Here is an 18,484-nt window from a genome sequence, read left to right as displayed (position 1 = left end):
CATCATCAACTTTTGAAGTTATATTTAAGAAATGCCTTCAGGGGAAGAAAATAATTGTTCATTATTAGAAAATGAATTAACTGTAAACTCAAGGTATGTGCCTATATAAATGTCTGTGCTCACTTCATTGGAGACATTTAAACAAGTTGAGTCTTACAAAGGAAAATCTTTTTCCTTTTCCTGGCCATAAGTAATTACTGATTCAGCTTTTTAAGCAATTCAGAGCACACTGCAGGTGCGCCAGATTCAAACAAGCATTGCATAAACCAAATGGAGATAAAAGCTACCAGGAACCTGAGTACTACTCCGGATGAGACACCAAAACCCACGTCTAACTTAGCAACTAAGTGCACAGTATTAATTCTCATTGGTCAGTGTATGCATAAGTCACTTTGATGAAACCATCTACAGATTTTTAAAAAATCTTTGTGGCCCTTGTTCACAACCAGTGATCTTTGGAAGTTAAGGTCTGCTGAGTTGAGTTACAAGGCAGGTGCTATATTCAATGCTGGTATGGTACTGATACCATTTCTACGAAGTTAGAACTTTCTAAAACATCTGAAGATAGGGGAGGCATGTGCGACTAAAATAAGGATTAGAGGAGTGACTGCAGAGACTGTCAGTTGGTAATGAGGGAGGAGGAGGATAAGCTGGTGTTAGCCCCAGATGAGACCACAATGCAGCAACAAGACAGCACAGAACTGCAGGAACTTCTAGGAACCACTGTCTGGTCCTGCTGCCAAGTGAGGCAAAACCAAAGAGGGATTTAACAAAAAAAGGCACAAAGGAAAAACAAAATGAAACCTAAAGTTATGAGTCAAAAGGTTACCCCACTGTTACCCTGCATTAAAGAGGACAAGGCCAGAGTGAAAACTCTCTCTCCTGGTTCTTTCAAACAAGACAGGCTTTATTTAGATCACCAAAAATAACATTTTACAGAAAGGGAACCATAACATTACACAACAAAGTATAGCTGTAAAATCTCAAATAAGAAAGGCAATGCTTTCTTTAGATCACCAAAAATAATGTTTCACAGAGAGGGAACCGTTAGAAGCAAATGCATAGCTGCAAATTTTCTTTTGCCATCAATATCGATTCCCTCTAAAATACTTTGAGACTACTTTGTGGTTTCCGAGTACAAACTAAACCTTTTTGGACAGAGTTGCTCGGCTTCATCAAAAAAATAAAACCAATTTGCAAAAAAAAATTTGTTTAATGCTAACAAATAAAGAGACAATGTGGTTCTTGCTAACTAACTGCAATGTCTACTGAAATGGCCTAACCTATTCCACGAATATTTCACTGTGAACATAGTTGCTTTTTCCTTGCCATCACAGATGGCCTGCAAAGTAACAAGTGTCGTGTCAGAGCACTTTCAGGCACCCAGGGAATCATTCCTAACAGAATAACTGCAGTATGTGGGCAACTCAAACAACAGAGCCCCAAGGTGGGCATTGTGTTTGCGCTGTGGGTAAAGACCCACCACCTTGTTAGTTATTCACCTGGAACCCAGAGCGCCAAACTAGACAGAGCAGTTGCTCTTACAGAACCAACAACATTTTAATAAATTGCCCGGGGGTTCTTGGTGCTGTAATGTGCCTCACAGGCAGCGACATAAGCCGACTCTGGGAAGAAGTCATCGTGGTATTCTGCTAAAAACCTGGAAAAAAAAAATAGCCCCAATGAGCACCATACTAAGGACTAAATACCATCAAGCAAAATATTGACTTTCAACCTACTAACATTTCAACTGTTTTTTGGTATTAGGAAGAAAAAAATGACTATAATTTTGATCTCTCTATACTGATTATTTTCACTGCACTTATCCAGCTTCTATGTGAATTACTACTTATCTGAATGCCTTCACCATCATCAGGTGTACAAATGGAAACAGAACCTACACTCCACTAGGTGGCAGTCTGGTTATATAAACACTTCTGTTGGGGGCGGAAAAAAAAAAGCCCATGAATGTTTCTACATTTTTCTGTTGTTCAAACAAACTATTAAAAACAACAGATTATAGGCTGGGCACTGTGGTTCACGCCTGTAATCCCAGCACTTTGGGAGGCCGAGGCAGGTGGTCACGAGGTCAGGAGATCGAGAACATCCTGGCTAACACAGTGAAACCCCGTCTCTACTAAAAACACAAAAAATTAGCTGGGCGTGGTGGCGGGTGCCTGTAGTCCCAGCTACTCGGGAGGCTGAGGCAGGAGAATGGCATGAACCTGGGAGGCAGAGCTTGCAGTGAGCCGAGATCACGCCACTGCACTCCAGCCCAGGCGACAGAGCAAGACTCCGTCTCAAAAATAAATAAATAAACAAAATAAAAAATAAAAAACGATTATAAACAATAAATCTCACTTCAGAAATGTACATCATTTATATGAGCAAAGTCATACAAAAATTGAACAGAACAACTAGTAATGGCATTTGGTGTCCTAATTTGCCATGCCAAAACATGTTACAGTTCTAGCTAACAGTACCAAGACACAGGAAAGACTCATATGTATGAAGACGGATGTTAAAAATGTGCTGGTCATTCAAGAATCTTCAATATACATATGATATCTTGACTCAAACTTCAACTGATTTTGCCATGGAGGGCTAAGACATTCTCACATGTGCAATATTCACTAATAAGCACATTTGCCTTATGCTTGCTTCCCAGTGACTCCCACCTGCCCAAATTCCTAAAAATGTGCAAACCTTCTTCAGTATAAATTGAGTCAAAACTCATTGGATAGCTAACTCTTTTTCTTCTATGAGTGTACTCTTTTTATGATCATTATTGAGTCCATTGATTCTGGTTGATATCTTCGAATACGTTTTTAAAACCTCTTACTAGGTTTATTAGTAAGTCCTCCTAAGTTACTTCCTAAAATTCTAATTTCTATTTTGTATTAGGCATGCATCAAAATTAGCAGGATTTCCTATGCTATCCTGCAACTGACTCTTCATATTTTCTTGGCACTATTTGATTTCAGTTTACAAAATTTTATGCCAAACAGAGTTGTGGGTTTTGTTGAGGAAGAGGCTGGGAGGGAAGAGGGTCTTTTGGAAACTTGTTTCCAAGAAAATGTTGTGAAGTCTAATTCCACTCATGGACACTTTATTCAAAATGCCTACATGAAAGGATCTCTTAAAACCACAAGACGATTTCCCTGGCTGGGATACTCTCCACTCTGTGGTAAATCCTACTTGATAAGTCAGGGTGGGGCCTGGATACAAGGAAGAGATACTCCTTAAAGAGAAGGAAGAAACAAAGTCAGGTAGCTAGGATGAGCTGGGTGAGGCAGGGGGACAACTAGCCTTGAAGGCCAAGGAGAGAAAGTGGTCCATAGACATCATCTGGAAGGGAGAGGACACAGCAGAGCCTCAGATCAAATGATCCTATTAGATAAAAAAATGACTGGCTTTGTCAGCTGCAGGAAACAATACCTTGGTCTGAATTCATACATGACAACACAGACAAGGGGTCTTTTCTCTTAATTCTAAAGTAAACACCGAAATCCAACCTATAAATGCTACTATTTAAGTTAGTTTATGTACATGCAACAAAGGAAAGTCCACTACTTGAGGTACTGTTGAATAAAAAAATGTAAAACTAAATTATCATCAATCTCAATCACTTCTACTTTAGAAAATTTATTTTCTATTTATAAGGTTTTTTTAAATTAAATTCTTCTAGTGAGACAAAAAAACTTCACCTCTGTACAATGAATGCCCCTAACTCAGAAACCAGAGAAATTATGGAAAAAAGAAATACCAAAAAAACCCACTCCTAATTCCCATTACGGTTAGAACCAACCATGCTTAGGTAATACTTCTACTATTTAAAATATCACAGAGCTGACTTCCCCATGTGCTAAAGAGAAGTTCAGAAAAGCCACATATATGGCAACAGGTGTAAGTTTTGACAAAATAATAAAAATACCTCAAAAAGAGATCAAAGTGCTTCAATAAAGCCTTCAGATTCTTCTCAGAAAAGGACATCTTTCCAAGGATTTCTGGAAGTTTCACTGCATTAAAAATAAAGGCAAAACCATTTACAATTAGCAGAATCTGACAATGCATAGGATTCACTCAGGGAAGGTCTGGGCCCCTCCTTATCTCTACTGGAACTGAAATTAACATCCACATTATCAAACAAATCCCCAAACTCTTACTGAACAAAGACAGAGTAGCAGTACAAATATTACAAACATAATTTTTATGAAATTTAAGATTCATTCAATGCCTTTTCTTTGATAGATTACTTTTAATTTTTCTTGGATCCCCAAATTTCTTAGTTAGATAATTATAGCCCAAACCACAAGGTGTACAGAAAGCTAACAAGAGAATACAAAATGAAAAATGGAAAGAAGGCAGGAACCAGGATTCTTACCAAACAATCGCAGCAAATGTTGTGCCCCATAAATGTAAGAGGGTGGAGGCGGCTGGTCACCTGGGGGGTAATTGTCAGGCACAAGCTTCCAGGAGAGGACCTGGAAAAAGCACGAATTGAATGCTTTTGTTATTCTTAATGGAGACACTTCCAACCACCTAACAATTATGACAGTAAATTGTACGTAGAGGGGAAAAAATAAGTGATTGGATCAAAATAAACACAAGCTTACAAAAAACAAAGATGAAAGGCAAAAACACTTAAAATAGATCAAGAAAGTCTTTAATTTCTTAACTCGCAACAGTTATTCTCTATAAATAACTGTAACTGTTTAGGTTCTTTAGTCCTTTCTCTTTATTGAAAATTCTGCTGCATGGCCAGGCGCGGTGGCTCACACCTGTAATCCCAGCACTTTGGGAGGCCGAGGTGTGTGGATCAACTGCGGTCGGGAGCTTGAGACCAGCCTGGCCAACATGTTGAAACCCCATCTCTACTAAAAATACAAAAAATTAGCCAGGTGTGGTGGTGGACGCCTGTAATCCCAGCTACTTGGGAGGCTGAGGCAGGAGAATCACCTGAACCAAGGAGGCAGAGGTTACAGTGAACCAAGGTTGTGCCACTGCACTCCAGCCTGGGCAACAAGAGTGAAACTCTGGCCCCCTTCCCCTCCACCCAGAAAAAAGAAAATCCTGCTGCACTAGAGAGAGAATGAAGCATTAAAAAGTAATCCATAGATGTTCTGAATAATATTACTGTTGTTTCAAGATTCCTTAATTTCTTGCTGTTAGATTCATTATGGAAACGAATTTGAATCTTTTAACCCCTTGAATCAACTGAAATAGACTTCAAACCTGATAACTGATTTGTCTTCATTCTGAATTTCAGAACTGTGGGTGGACCTGGGGCTTTTGTTAAAGGGAGAGTTGCATTTCAAAACTCTCTGATGAATTTCCGTAAAAGTACTTCAGCAAATTATAGAACCAGAGCCTACTCTACTGAGCTGCTACTTTGGCTTTTGGGACGTCATATTCAATATGGAAACAGTCAGACTGGAGGAAGTCCACCAGCAGACAAAGCAGAAAGAAAGATGCCCCCACAAACTCAGAAACACTGATATAGTCAGTTTAACAACATGGAACTGCCAGAAGCTAATAAGCACCAAGGTGGCCCTGAAGGATCCAGAACAAAGGCCTAGCTTCACTTTGGCCCCTGCCTAGACAGGCCTAGACTCTCGCCTAGGTCTCCACCCCCAGCGCCCCACTTCTGCACTGTGGAGCACTGAGGGAAGGGATCGTTCCAGCATCTTTACAGCATCCCCAGCACCTGCCCAGTGCACACAGCTGAAGCTTTGGAACCATTCTGAAAGTGACTCAAAGGAAACATACAGGACTTTGCAATCTCAGAGGCATGAACAGCACTTGGCACGTACAAAAGCAGGTCATCTGGCTCTATCTCACTCACTCAATTCTGTGTTTCAAGGCAGTTTATAATCTTCTATTTATGAAGACACATTTTCCGGGGAAAAATGGTAGGTTTCTAGTCGGGGGATTCCCAGTGGGGTATGCATGGGAATCATTGATGGACCTTTACTGGCATGTGCTGGCCCAGACCAGCCCCTAGTACTGTGGAGCAGCGATTGGAACTGAGAGAAAGAGCCCTGGTCAAAAAACACGGTGGTAGACGTACGTAAGAAGGTGGGAATCCACGAAGGTCTCATGAGTCCTTGTGAGAGCCGCCTGAACCCCAACCATTTCCCAGAAAGCACTTTCAAACTATAAGTTGCAGCTGTACCTATAACCACTAGATGGCGCATTCGCACTGCAGACCGGAGTGGGAATAGCCCTTACTTGACAACTCAGATGCCCCTTAAATTCACGATTTCCCCTCAATAATAAAATTCGTAGTGCATTCTTATCTGAAAAATGGGCATGTCAGGGACTGCTTGAACTAGGGATTTCCTAACCTACCCTCAACAATCATCATAACACAAATTAGGCTTTCTAGATTCTCTATGGGGTCAGCCAACTGTAGCCCCTAGGCCAAATCCAGCCCCATGCTCATATGTTCAAAATGGTTGGGGAAAAAAAATCATACGAATAATATTTTGTGATATGTGAAAATCACATGACATTAAATTCTCAGTGTCCATGAATGAATTAAGGGGGCAGCACACAGAGCCACACCCCTTTGTTTATGGCAGAGCCACGTCCCTTTGTTTAGGGCTTTCCTGCTGGAACAGCAGAGTTGAGCAGTCTCTCAAGAGACCTTAGGGTACACACTACTGAAGACAGTTATCGTCTGGAAGAAAGTTTTGTGACTTCTCTTCCCATCATCAAGTGCTCTTTGCCTAGGCTGGGCACAGTGGCTCATGCCTGTAACCCCAGCACTTTGGGAGGCAGAGGCGGGAGGATCACTTGAGCTCAGGAGTTGGTGACCAGGCTGGGCAACATGGCAAAACTTAGTCTCTACAAAAAAATGCAAAAATTAGCCAGGCCATGGTGGCATGAGCCTGTAGTTCCAGCTACTCAGGAGGCTGAGGTGGGAGGATCGCCTGAGCCCAGGAGGCAGAGGCTGCAGTGAGCTAACATCCTGCCACTGCACTGCAGCCTGGGTGACAGCATGAGAGTGAGACCCTGTGTCAAAAAAAGAAAAAAATGTTCTTTGCCTAGCAAAGCCATTTTCCCTTGTGCAACTCCTACTCACCTTAAAAAAAGAGGAAATCTCACCTCCTAGGAGACGTTCACAGAATATGCTGATAAACTGAGACGTCTTCAGAATCCCTGACAAACTCACCACCTACAGATCACCTAATGGGCCTTAAAAATAGTTTTAAAATGAAAAGTTTTCCCATCTATCAAGTGGAAATCTGGTGGCAAGGCTGATCTCGAGAATTCAAAGTATTTGGTTCAAGTGTCTGGCACAGTGGTGGCCTAGAGCCCATCCCTGAAGGGACGGCTATTGGTATTACTGTTAATGATGGAGGGGAATCAGGGATTTAAAGTAGGAGTCAGCAAACTACAGCCTGCTGGTCACATCCCGCCCAACTACTGCCTGTTTCTATATTGCCCACAAGCTAAGAGTGGATGTTATATTTTTAAATGATTGAAAAACAAAAAAAATTTTCAAACACATGAAAATTAAATGCTAGTCAAATTTCAGTGTCCATAAATCAAGTTTTATTGGAATATAGCACACTCATTTTATTTACATACTATCTGTGGCTACTTTTGGAGTTAAGTAGCCTTGACAGACACCATATGGCCCACAAAGCCGAAAGTATTTACCCTCTGGCCCTCTGTGGAAATTGACATCTGTTCTATAAAGTAAAAATACTGGTATTTCAATAATTGCACTTATTTAAAAGATGATTGTCAGTGTAGGGCTGGAATCCTAACAATTTTCTCACTTTAGAAACCAAAACCCACAGTGTTAAGCATAAAATTACGTACAATTTTGATAATGTTTACAGTAATAGCAGCAACATGATGCTTTAAGAACCTTGACTTCCACCTATAGAATTGAAGTAATCACAAATAAAGGAACCATTGGGAACAAACATCAAACATTCTTTACCTCGTTTATTTCATTAGTTCTTCTCCCTTCAAAGCCAGCAAACACAGCACTCCCTTCCTTGCTAGGAGTCAGAGGAATAGGTGAAGATGATCTGCTATGCACAGGTGTCTCTTCCAAAGAAAAAGATGAAATTATTCACACAGCAACTGAATTAAAGACTGCCTCAAGACTGTTAAAAACTGCAGAACATAAATCTAAACTTGGTTCTCAGAAATTACCAACCTTTAACGATAAGACTTTCCTAACAGATAGCACCTGAATTTTATTTGGTTAAAAAAATAAGGAATAAAGCACTGACATATGCTACAATGTGGATGAACCTTAAAAGACTATGCTTAGTGAATGGAGCCAATCACAAAGGGCCACATACTATGTTTCCATTTATATGAAATACCCAGGGTAGGCAAATCCAGAGAGACCGAAAGCAGCTTAGTGGTTGCCAGGAGCTTGCAGAAGGGGAAGTGGGGAGTGATTGCTACTGGGTATGGGGTTTCTCGTGGGGGGGTGCTGAAAATGTTCTGGAATTGACTGTGCAGATGGTCGCACAACTCTGTGAATACACTAAAAACTACTGGATTGAACTGTATATGTGGATGTGTCAATGAAGCTGTTAAGTGCCACTGAATTATTCACTTTACAATGGTTAATTTTATATGTGAATTTCACATCAATAAATACAAATAAAAAATAAAAAGTACAAAGAGAAACAGAAAAAGATAGCACTTTATTTTGTAGCACCTTTTTAAAAACAGTCTTTTTAAAAATTTTCCCAGCTGACCCTTTTCAATCTTCAATCAACCAATCCTTATTAACCACTTACATACAGATGATTCCATTTATATGAAATGCCCCAAACTGGCAAATCTATAGAGACAAATAGATTAGTGGTTGTCAGGGGACATAGGGAGAAGCAAATGAGTAACTGCTAGTCGATGTGGGGTTTCTTTTTTGGAGTGGTGAAAATGTCTGAAACTGATTTCAGTGATGGTTGCCCAACTCTTTAATTTTGCCCAACTAAAACTATTTTGTTAGTTATCTATCAGACAGGGTGGTCTCTTTGTGTCGCCCAGGCTCGACTGCAGTGGCCCAATGAGAGCTCACTGCAGTCTTAGACTCTGGGCCTCAAGCGATCCGCCAGCTTCAGCCACAGCCACAGCTGCAGCCTCCCAAGTAGCTGGGACTATAGGTGCACATCATCACACCTGGCTAACTTTTTCTTTAAGAGATGGGGTTTCACTATATTGCCCAGGCTGATCTTGAACTCCTGGCCTCAAGTGATCCTCCTGCCCCAGTCTCACAGGCATGAACCACTGTGTCTGGAGACACTAAAAACTTTAAATGTGTGAATTTTAAGGTATGTGGATTATATCTCAATCAAGCTGTTTTAAAAAAGCACCTGATTTTGTTTTAGCACTTGATTATTCAAAGGGCTTCTCTTAAAGGTATGCCTTCTTCAACTCTGCCCTTCTGAGCCTTCCCAATCTTCAAAGAATCAGCAAATACTTTCACGCACCTGGAACTATGCCACCAACACTGAGCTGTGATGGGGTGACACAATCAACAAGTCAGACCTTTCTCTCAGGAGCTTATGGATGTGGCAGGGACAGGATGTACACAAGGAAATGGGCACCTGAACACAGAATGGCACTGGGATGACTTTTGGGAGTTCCAACAGGATGATGCTTAGAAGGACCCCTGAAGGAGTCAGCACAGCAGGCGAGGCTGAGGGAAGAACAGGGCACAGGTCATACACAAGATACACCTACTGGGGCATGGGGATTCGACTCCAAGTAGTTTTACCCTGACGTTAGCTTTGGAGGTGTTTTTGATATTTATGAGGGGTGTCTTAGATTTCACAGCCTGCGAGCAGCTGAGCTCTGTGAAAGGAAGGCCACCAGGCTTCCATCTCTGGAGTTGGGTGCTTGGCGCCTGCTGGCGTAGCTCTGTTTCCACCTCCACACAGTGTGCCGGGGGACAGGCATGCAAGCTGCCTCCCCTGCTGCTGACTTCCTAACTCACTGAGCCCGCGAGGCACCAGGTGACATCGTCGGCCCTGCTGCCATCAACTTTCCATTTCACACATTTTTGGCAGTCAAGGGTGGAAGGATATAAGCACAGAGCACCCTGTATTTGTGAATGAGGTCTTCAATGTAAAGTGAATACTACTACTAAGAGGGCTTAATTAGCATAGGCTAAACAACCAGATTGTAATTAATTTGGGAAAAATGCCTGGTTAGTGTATAATAGCTAATGTTAGTTTCTACAGTAATTGTACCTGATTCATGGCACCTGTTTTAGCAGTTTTTGAAAGTTTAAAATGATTAATTAGCAGTGGTTTACTTCTAAGTTTTATATTACAGCAAATCAACCTGTGTGTATTTTGGAAAAAAAGAAAGTAAACTTTTGTCTAATTTATTTTGCTCATTGAAACATTCCAGCTCAAAATCAAGGTGAGAAGATCTGATGGAGTTTGAGTTGGGCTAAGAGGAGGTGAGAAGAGCTTATGGAAATCTGAGTATTCTTACTTTGATAATTCAGGACAGACCTTTCCAAATTAAACTTTAGAATGGAGAGACTACAGAGACAGAGTACAAAGAAAACAAAAAGCTAAACAACCCATTAGCATTGCTCATTTTGAATGCTTCATTAGGCCTAGCTACACAATACATAGAATTCTGATAACTCAATTTGCTCACAAGTGGTAGAGTGATGGCAAAAAAGAAAGGCTGAGGAAACAGCCCAGTCCTGCCTCCAACACAGCTGCGCTGCAATCTGCGCCAGGTGTTTCAACTTTCTACAGCTCCAGAAAGCAGGCAGCATGACAGCACTTTGGACATGGGAATCACACGCACTGTACACACACACATGTAACCTCAGCACCATGCCTGGCACTGACTAAACACAAAGTACACGCTGGCTCTCCCCGGCCTGGGGCACCCGAGAATGAACCTACTCTTTTCCAGGTGCAGGAAGAGCTTGGGCATGCTGGCGGATGTGTCCTGCTGCCGGCGCTTGGGCTGAGGTGAAGCGCTGCTCTCAGAAAGCCTGTCACAGTTGGCACTGTGGCGCGTGGACCGCCTCAGAGACTGCAATGCTTCTGGCTCAGCTTTGCGCCTTTTGGGGGTGGCTGGTTCACCGGTGGTCGGCTGACTCTCTGTGGACTGTGGCGTGGATGGATTCAACAAAGGCGGACTGGGAGAGAGTTCCTCCTGGCTCCTAGGGAAGATGGAGGATGTCACACATGGCTCAAAGGGCCTTTCCAGAACATGGAGTGCTTCTGAAGACACGAAATGCTCTCTCTACTCCAGGAGGGTCGTAAATATGTACCGAAGTCACTTGGACCCTCTCCATAACTCTGCAAGGCACGCTGGCATTAAAGATTGTGATGCCCCTGTTATATGTGTCTTAGAGCAGTGGGTCTCAAGTGGGAGCAATGTTGCCCTGACAGGGAACAGATGGCAATGTCTGGAGACAATTTTGGTTGCTGCAACTGAGGAAAGAGGTGTTATCCGCATCTAGTGGGTGAAGGCCACTAATTCTGCTAAACATCCTATATTGCACAGGCAGCCCCACAACAAAGAAAGATCTGATTCAAAACATCAATAGGGCCGAGGCTGAGAAACGCTGGTCTAGAGAACAAGAATACCCTACCACCTCGTTGAAACGTAACTACTGGCAGGACTAAGAAAAGCATTGGGGTTGCTGTGTGAAAACACACAACCCACCCCGGAGGAGTCTCAAGGTTTGAAGTAGGCCCTGGGGACTTTGACATAGGTCCCCAGTGAGTCCTGCAGGCCTCTCACCTGGGGTGAAACTGACATGGGGAAAGGGAAAGGAGAGAGAGAAGCTACCAAAGGAAGGATGGCTGAGAGGAGATGGCGGCCAGGCGGAAAGAGAAGCTGGGGAGCTGACAGCCATGAAGCAGAGGGAGAAAGGGAGGGCAGGGCAAGGTGGCCGAGAAAAAGGGCAGCACACTGCAAGTGGGAGGTTATCAGTTCACGTGCAGGCAAAGTTTTGCAGCACAGCAGTAGATGAAGGCAGATAATAAGTGGTTAACAGAGGAGACAGATGAGTGGAAATCATGAGAACAGACCACTCTCTCAGGAAGAGAGGGAAGAGGGAGCGAGCACAATACCTTATAGAGATTAAGGGAAAGACTTTAGGTTGCAGGATCCCCCTCCCTGCCCCCTCAAAAAAGAACAGAGCATGCTCGGTAACTGAGGGAGGAAAAGTGGTGACATCGCAGAGCAAGAAGAGAAGTAACTTTTACTGAAGGCCAAAGTTTGCAGGCCCTGTGTGAACATTCCCATTTAATACTACTAGCTAGGCCTGCCTTCCGTCCATCCCACACCTGCAAAAGAAGGAGGCTCCTAAGAAACCTCTGCAACTAACACAAACAGCCAGTGAGGGGACTCAATTCAAACCTGCCCCTTCCACCCTCCCCGGCCTGTGCTCTCTTCACCCCACCCACTACCGTCTTCCCCAAAATGGGAGAGCTGCTCATCATCCCACCTAAGTTCTCTATGCTGGGGTCTTCACTTGGTAAAATCTGCCAGAGCCATATGAAAGTGAATGATGACTTAGCTTACCCAGGAAAAAAGAAAACCACCAGGACACACACTTTTCATTTCCTTCCCTCCTCCAAACATGTTGGCCCACACCATCAGATTGAACTCTTCAAAACAAGGATCTGATCATTGTACTGCTGACATGTGAGGGTGAAAGTGCAGGCTATATAACTTACCTGTTAGTGCTTGTGGCACTTTCCTTAATTGGAAGAAAAAATTTAGACGAAGTCACCTTTTTATACTGAGCTTGTTCATATGGATAGAGTAAAACCAACGGGAGAGTGTAATCAAAGGTTATTCTTAATCCATCCACCATCTCCTTACAAAGGTCAACACTGGGAGGATTAAAAAGAAGAGATTAGAGACACAAGTAAGAGGTACTTTCCAAATGTTCACAATGAAGTTGCCGATTTTTAATAGGGCAGTTTTAAATCTAATCATTATATACTACACCTACATACACACAAAATGAAATGGATTTGTAGCTACTGTCAAGATTACATAGGAAAACATAAAGTGCAGAAAATACAGCAGTCACTTTAACTTACCCCATTAAACACAAATAAATATGTTTGAGGCCACACGAGGTGTCCAGCAGCCTGTGCTGCAAAAGTGGACAGGTGGACACACCCCTATCACTGCAAGCTGAAACGGGTTGACCCTAGTGAATCCCTAACCCTTGCTTTAACTCCAACACTCCACCTTTCTGCCTCTCATCTAGCTGGGTCATGTGTACCAGGCAGGATACAAGGAAGCTTTCTCTGACTGGAATGAAAACCTGTTTGTAAACAAGCTTTGAGAAATCCTCACTGCCCATTCTGGTGCTTCTCAAGGAAAGTTCTCGCCCTAAACAGTATCACTGAAAAAACTGTCTCAGTGCTGAGGCAGTGCACTTTCAATGCATCCATGTAAGATGTGTAAATAGTTATTGAAGTACTGAAGATTTCACAAAAGTGACAAGGTTTTAATATTAGATGATTCAATGAATTATCAATAAATTATTAAATATTAAATGAATTCAAAATAACGGAATAGAGACAAGTGTCACCTGTTCTAAATGGAAGCCACCTCTCTAATACAGAGAGAACCACAAAACACCAAACATGCCAGTACTCACTTCTTTTCTGCTGGGATATAATGCACGTTCATGTTGGCATGTGGCATAACGTGATGGTGACGAGGCCTCTCATTGGCTGAAAAGGCTGCATTGATAGCAAAATGCTTCACATAGGATTCCAAAATCGTTATGATGTTGGTCTGGCATGGAAGTTTCACTAACTGTTAACAAAAACATAGACATCTGATGTATGCATCCTAATGTAACAAACCACATATTCCAAGAAACACTGGTCATGTCTGTATCATTTTTTAACTCAAAAATAAACCAAAGCCAATTCTGTTTGAATAGAACTTCTTAAATATGTTCGCAATCTCTTTGATCTTTTTTTCTCTACTGATCATAACCTTATGTAGATTACAATATTACTTTTTTGAATAGATGTAAGCAGTGATTCTTAATCTCAGTGATCTGTGAGAACAACCTGGGGAACTTCTTCAAGTATACCTGCAGTTGGACTCCACCACAGATCAATTAATTCTTAATTTCTGGGCTGAAGCACAAGCAGCAGCATTCTGGAAAGCTCCCAACACAACCCTAATGGGCAGCCAGAGCTGTGTGAGTTTCAATTTTTATCAGCTGCACAGCACCACTGGCAGAGAACTTTAAAACCTGACTCAATACAAAGCTGAAAAATATAAATTTCGTTCCACCAAGATTCGCTATTGCTTACGTCTATGATTGCAAACTATGGCAAAATGAAAATGCCAAACAAATTAATGTTTTATACATTCTCCCTACATACCCGTTTCCTCCTGTTAATGTAGTAACAATCATCCTCCAGCTGCTTCTTCAGAACTTCAGGGATTTCTATAGTTATTGTTCTTTCTTCCATTTCCCTTCTTGTTTGAAGCTCTGGTTCTTCTTTCTGCAATATCAAAATTCCATTTTTAACTATTTAAAACAGTAGAAGAGTCAATATCCAAGGAAGGCCTGCTATGAAACAAACCCAGCTAATCCTCAACAATCATAGTATGCCACGTGTTCTAATTAAAAGTATGTTAAAGGCCAAAAGTTAACTTGTTTGGGGGCACTAAACACAATGCAAATATGTATTTCATTTCTTTCCCATTTCAGTTTACCACTCGGATTTATATTAACTTTGGATGCAGGCAGAAGACATCACAGTCTGTAGGCTCCATTAAAAAATTAATCATTATAAAACAAATAATTTGACTGGAAAGAAAGATAACTATAATTTGTGGAAACATTTTAGGGGCATAAAGAGCCACTGAGAGACTCATACGGCGACTATAAATAAGGGTTGTTTTTCTTTAAATGTCAAATAAAAATTTACATTATTGGTTTAAAAGATGTATCTTTAGAAAACAATTCACAACTGGAGTATTTCACTGTGAATTTTTACCACTAAAATATATAACAAAGAGAAAGTTTTTACAATAAAAACTTTATACCACTTCAGTCTTTTCTTCAATATCACTTTCTTCACTTATTTCTTCATCCTTGTTTTCACTACAGTCAGAGGAACTGCTTAATGCTAGGTGAAACAAAAGCATCCGGTAAACTCGCATTTTATACTTCACCAACCCTTATGTCTACAGATCTTCACGTGTAGTGTGGGTGCTACTGGAAATAATAAACTGCAATTCCATGTATTTTTAAATGCCAAACACAAATACTGTATCTTTCACAATAGAAATTTATTTTGACAACCAATTTCAATGGATGCAAAAATCACACTAGCTAATGATCGGAAAGTGTATTGTCAGTTAGGATCCTACAGTTTCCTGTTGCATTCATAAATGGGACCAAGGCCTGGGAGGTGCCAAAAAGAGAACAGATCCCATGAGAACACACCCATGAGGGGTTTGTACAAAGATGCTGGCCGAGAGGGCAGTAGTCACAAGCATGACTCTGCTAACGTTCTATTACTGATTTACTGACTTATATTGACTGCTACTTTAATTGTCAAAAATAAATGGGGCAAATATTATACATAATGAGCTTGAAGTGTTTCCCTGTCTAGAATTTCAGTGAATCCTTCTCTCAGTCTAGGTGGAAGTTCTTTCAGCCAAAAGAAATGAAGTGAAGCTACTCACAGTTTTCATCATTTTCATCTTTTTCTTCAGTGGGGAGGCCTTTTAAGACAGAGTCCACACCAGGCAACCTGCAGCGCTTCTTCTTTCTTCCTGTGCTCCTCCTGAAAAAGAGTAGCAAACAACTGAAATAAGTTTTGACATTGAACTCGTGAGTCTTGAGATCAAAACAAGATATAATAAACAATGAAATACATTTGAAAAATTATTAAACTTTAGAACATAAATGGTAATTTCCATTTCAGAAAATTATACAATAACCACTCTGAAAACACTGTTATTTAGAATACCATAGGAACACTCTTCCCCTTACACACTTTAAATATTTAAAATTATTTAATAAATGATATTTGTCATTGTATTACTTTTATATCATAAAAATCTAAAACACTAAGAGAAAACACATTGGATAACATTTATATCTTGATTTTTGTATTCTTACAGGCGAGCTACAGCTTTTCTTGCCAATTTACGCTGTAATCTACGATTTTCATCGGTATCACGAAGCACATGATCTTCTGCTGCCCATCTATCCCAGCTAATTGAACAAAAAAGGAAAATTCAGTACTTTAGTTTGATATGAAACAACGACTAAAAGTACCTCAAAGCAATAGAAATGCCCCAGAATTACATTTTTAGAAAACGATTTAAATATTTTAAAATCACAAAGAGGAGGCAAATAAACTGAAAAAGTAACTCATTCAGACACAGAAACAACTGGGGTTTCCAGAATCACCCAGACAGAATCCAAATACAATCGACTTAAAAGTAACTATTCGTCACAATAGGCAAGTTCTGGTAACAAAGTAAAAACAGGAAATGAATCAAACTTCTCTACAAGTGTTTCTAAAACTTAAAGAAGTTTGCAACGCTACAAAGTAAAGACAGGAAATGAAACAAACTTCTCTACAAGTGTTTCAAAAACTTAAAGAAGTTTGCAATGCTACAAAGTAAAAGCAGGAAATGAAACAAACTTCTCTACAAGTGTTTCTGAAACTTAAGTCTGCAATGTTTCTATGCAGCAAAGACAATCAATTTTCAGTCTGGTTTAACAAGTTCACTCACCTTCTGTTCCAACCATTAAAATGGATCAGATATTCTGGGATCTTTCTGCCTTTTTCGTCTTTCCCAACAATAACATCAACAATCTGAAACGAAGAAATATTTCCCACAAATGGCAGAACATACAGAAAATTAGAAGTTAGATCAGGAAAACTAATTCACAGACCCTTTTTTAAAGAAAGCATTCTCTCCTCTTTTAGACCGACAGCCGGGTTGAAATATTTTTCCTTTCATTTTTTTCCCCCAAGTGGACGCCTTCAAAATAGGAAACATCCGTCCAACCACCCCGTGATTGGTCTCTGAGCGTGAGACAGTGTGAGGCTTCTGAAGCCATTGGCCAGCCGATTTGTCACTAAGGAGAGACTCCAGGCTAGATGAAAGCTGCAGCCCTGAGAGCTCTGGGAGTTGTAGTCTCCTGGGCTCCCCTATGTCCAGTGCCAGGATGGCTAGCTGGAGACTCTGGAATCCCTCCCTGTTGTGTCCCTAGAGGGAACAACTAAAACTAATGATGGGGCGTGCCCCCCCCCCTCCGCCCCGAGGAGGCTGGAGGGCGAGGAGAAAGAGGGATAGCAGACGCGGTTAAAAGACAGGAGCAGCAGGGGAGGGAACTGAAGGCAGAATATGCTCATCCCTTTAGGGATGTCCTTTAGCATCTCTAATGGACAGAGCTGTCCAGACATCGCCAAAGACACACCTGGGACTGCCCCTGTCCCTGCCGCCTAAGGCTTCGCCCAGGTGGCCCTAGGAACCCAGGTCTCTGAAATGAAAGCACCTGGGTGCTTTCCTTGGGGATCTGGGAGACCTGGTGCCAACTCCTGCCCGCCACCCAAATCTGAGGAGCTGCAAGATGTGGCTCAGCTCCCGGAGACTTAGGTGGACCGGCCCGGGGCGCGATTCCCATCAACTATGGTCAGACCCACGTAAATCCTTCAGAGTTTGAAAACGTAAATGCTGCAAGGCCCTGGGGTACGAAAACACTGGGCCAACCTTGCCCTCGGGATGGGGTTCACGGCCTACAGGCGGGATGGGGCCTAAACTGGACTAGGGTCCCAGGGACACAACGTCGCAAGTCAGCGGCCAGCGCCGTGTAACTATGAATTAGAACCTGGATCGGACGGCCAGGGCGTCCCACAGGAGCCCACCCGGCACCAGGCCGCACAGAAGGAGACATTTAACGCGAAGACAGAAACCGTATTCGAGAAGCCTCCTCCCTCAGCGGCCACCGTTGCAGTCGGGGGCGCAAACGGTAGCCCCGGTAACGCGACAAAGCATGGGCGAGGCTCCCAACCGCGCGTGCGCCGCCCGGCCTGACGGAAGGAAGTGGAAGCATCCCAGACCCCGCCCCGACTCCCGGGCGTAGCGCCCTGTGAGCGCCCCCTGCCGGCCGCACCGCTCCTCGCAGGCCGAGGAGCCCGGCCGGTCCCTCAGCTCCGCGCGGCCGTCCGCCCCCGCCCCCGCCCCCGGTCCCGGGTCCCCCAGCCCGCGCCTCCTCCCTGTCCCTCCGCGGCGGCACCTTGGCATCGTACAGCACTCGCGCCTTGGTGGGGTCAGGCTCGAAGCACAGCACTTTCTCCCCTGAGTGGAATTTAAATTTCATGCCCTCGCTCGCGCTCATTTGCTCATCGTGGCGGAGGGCGAGGCTCCGGGGCGGGCGGAGCGCGCGCGGTGGGGGAGGGCGGGCGGGGGCGGGGAGGCGGTGCGCCGTGGCCGGGGGGGGCCGGGA

General features: G+C 42.7%; 1 protein-coding gene across 5 annotated transcripts, besides 3 other annotated features; it reads right to left on the bottom strand.

The window, feature by feature from the left end:
* MSL3 (MSL complex subunit 3) lies at window positions 868–18,481 on the bottom strand. 5 transcript variants are annotated; one of them, NM_078629.4, is made up of 13 exons: window positions 18,275–18,403; window positions 16,765–16,847; window positions 16,142–16,237; window positions 15,703–15,803; window positions 15,058–15,140; window positions 14,388–14,510; window positions 13,643–13,803; window positions 12,702–12,860; window positions 10,911–11,173; window positions 7,958–8,067; window positions 4,385–4,484; window positions 3,935–4,019; window positions 868–1,660 (listed from the first exon to the last, which is right to left on the bottom strand). In NM_078629.4, exons 1-13 carry the CDS (start codon window positions 18,374–18,376, stop codon window positions 1,561–1,563), a joined length of 1,566 nt encoding a protein of 521 aa, NP_523353.2. In that variant the 5' UTR covers window positions 18,377–18,403; the 3' UTR covers window positions 868–1,560. The 5 variants fall into 5 exon arrangements, with proteins under 5 accessions (NP_523353.2, NP_006791.2, NP_001180199.1 ...); NM_001193270.2 differs by lacking the exon at window positions 18,275–18,403 and adding an exon at window positions 17,867–18,058 and having other exon boundaries at window positions 887–1,660; NM_006800.4 differs by lacking the exon at window positions 18,275–18,403 and having other exon boundaries at window positions 16,765–16,993.
* Window positions 17,956–18,250: an enhancer, noted in NCBI's record as "tiled region #2065; HepG2 Activating DNase matched - State 1:Tss, and K562 Activating DNase unmatched - State 1:Tss". NCBI's record gives its function as "activates a minimal TATA promoter and a strong SV40 promoter by Sharpr-MPRA in HepG2 and K562 cells {active_cell/tissue: HepG2 | K562}" and the evidence as "EXISTENCE:reporter gene assay evidence [ECO:0000049][PMID:27701403]".
* Window positions 17,956–18,483: a biological region, named in NCBI's record as "Sharpr-MPRA regulatory region 2065".
* Window positions 18,104–18,483: a silencer, noted in NCBI's record as "silent region_20662". NCBI's record gives its function as "represses an Ori minimal core promoter by ATAC-STARR-seq in GM12878 lymphoblastoid cells {active_cell/tissue: GM12878}" and the evidence as "EXISTENCE:reporter gene assay evidence [ECO:0000049][PMID:35858748]".

The sequence above is a fragment of the Homo sapiens genome, chromosome X, assembly GCF_000001405.40.
Source record: "Homo sapiens chromosome X, GRCh38.p14 Primary Assembly".
NCBI classification, from domain to species: domain Eukaryota; kingdom Metazoa; phylum Chordata; class Mammalia; order Primates; family Hominidae; genus Homo; species Homo sapiens.
This window is presented reverse-complemented; position numbering and strand designations above follow the sequence as displayed.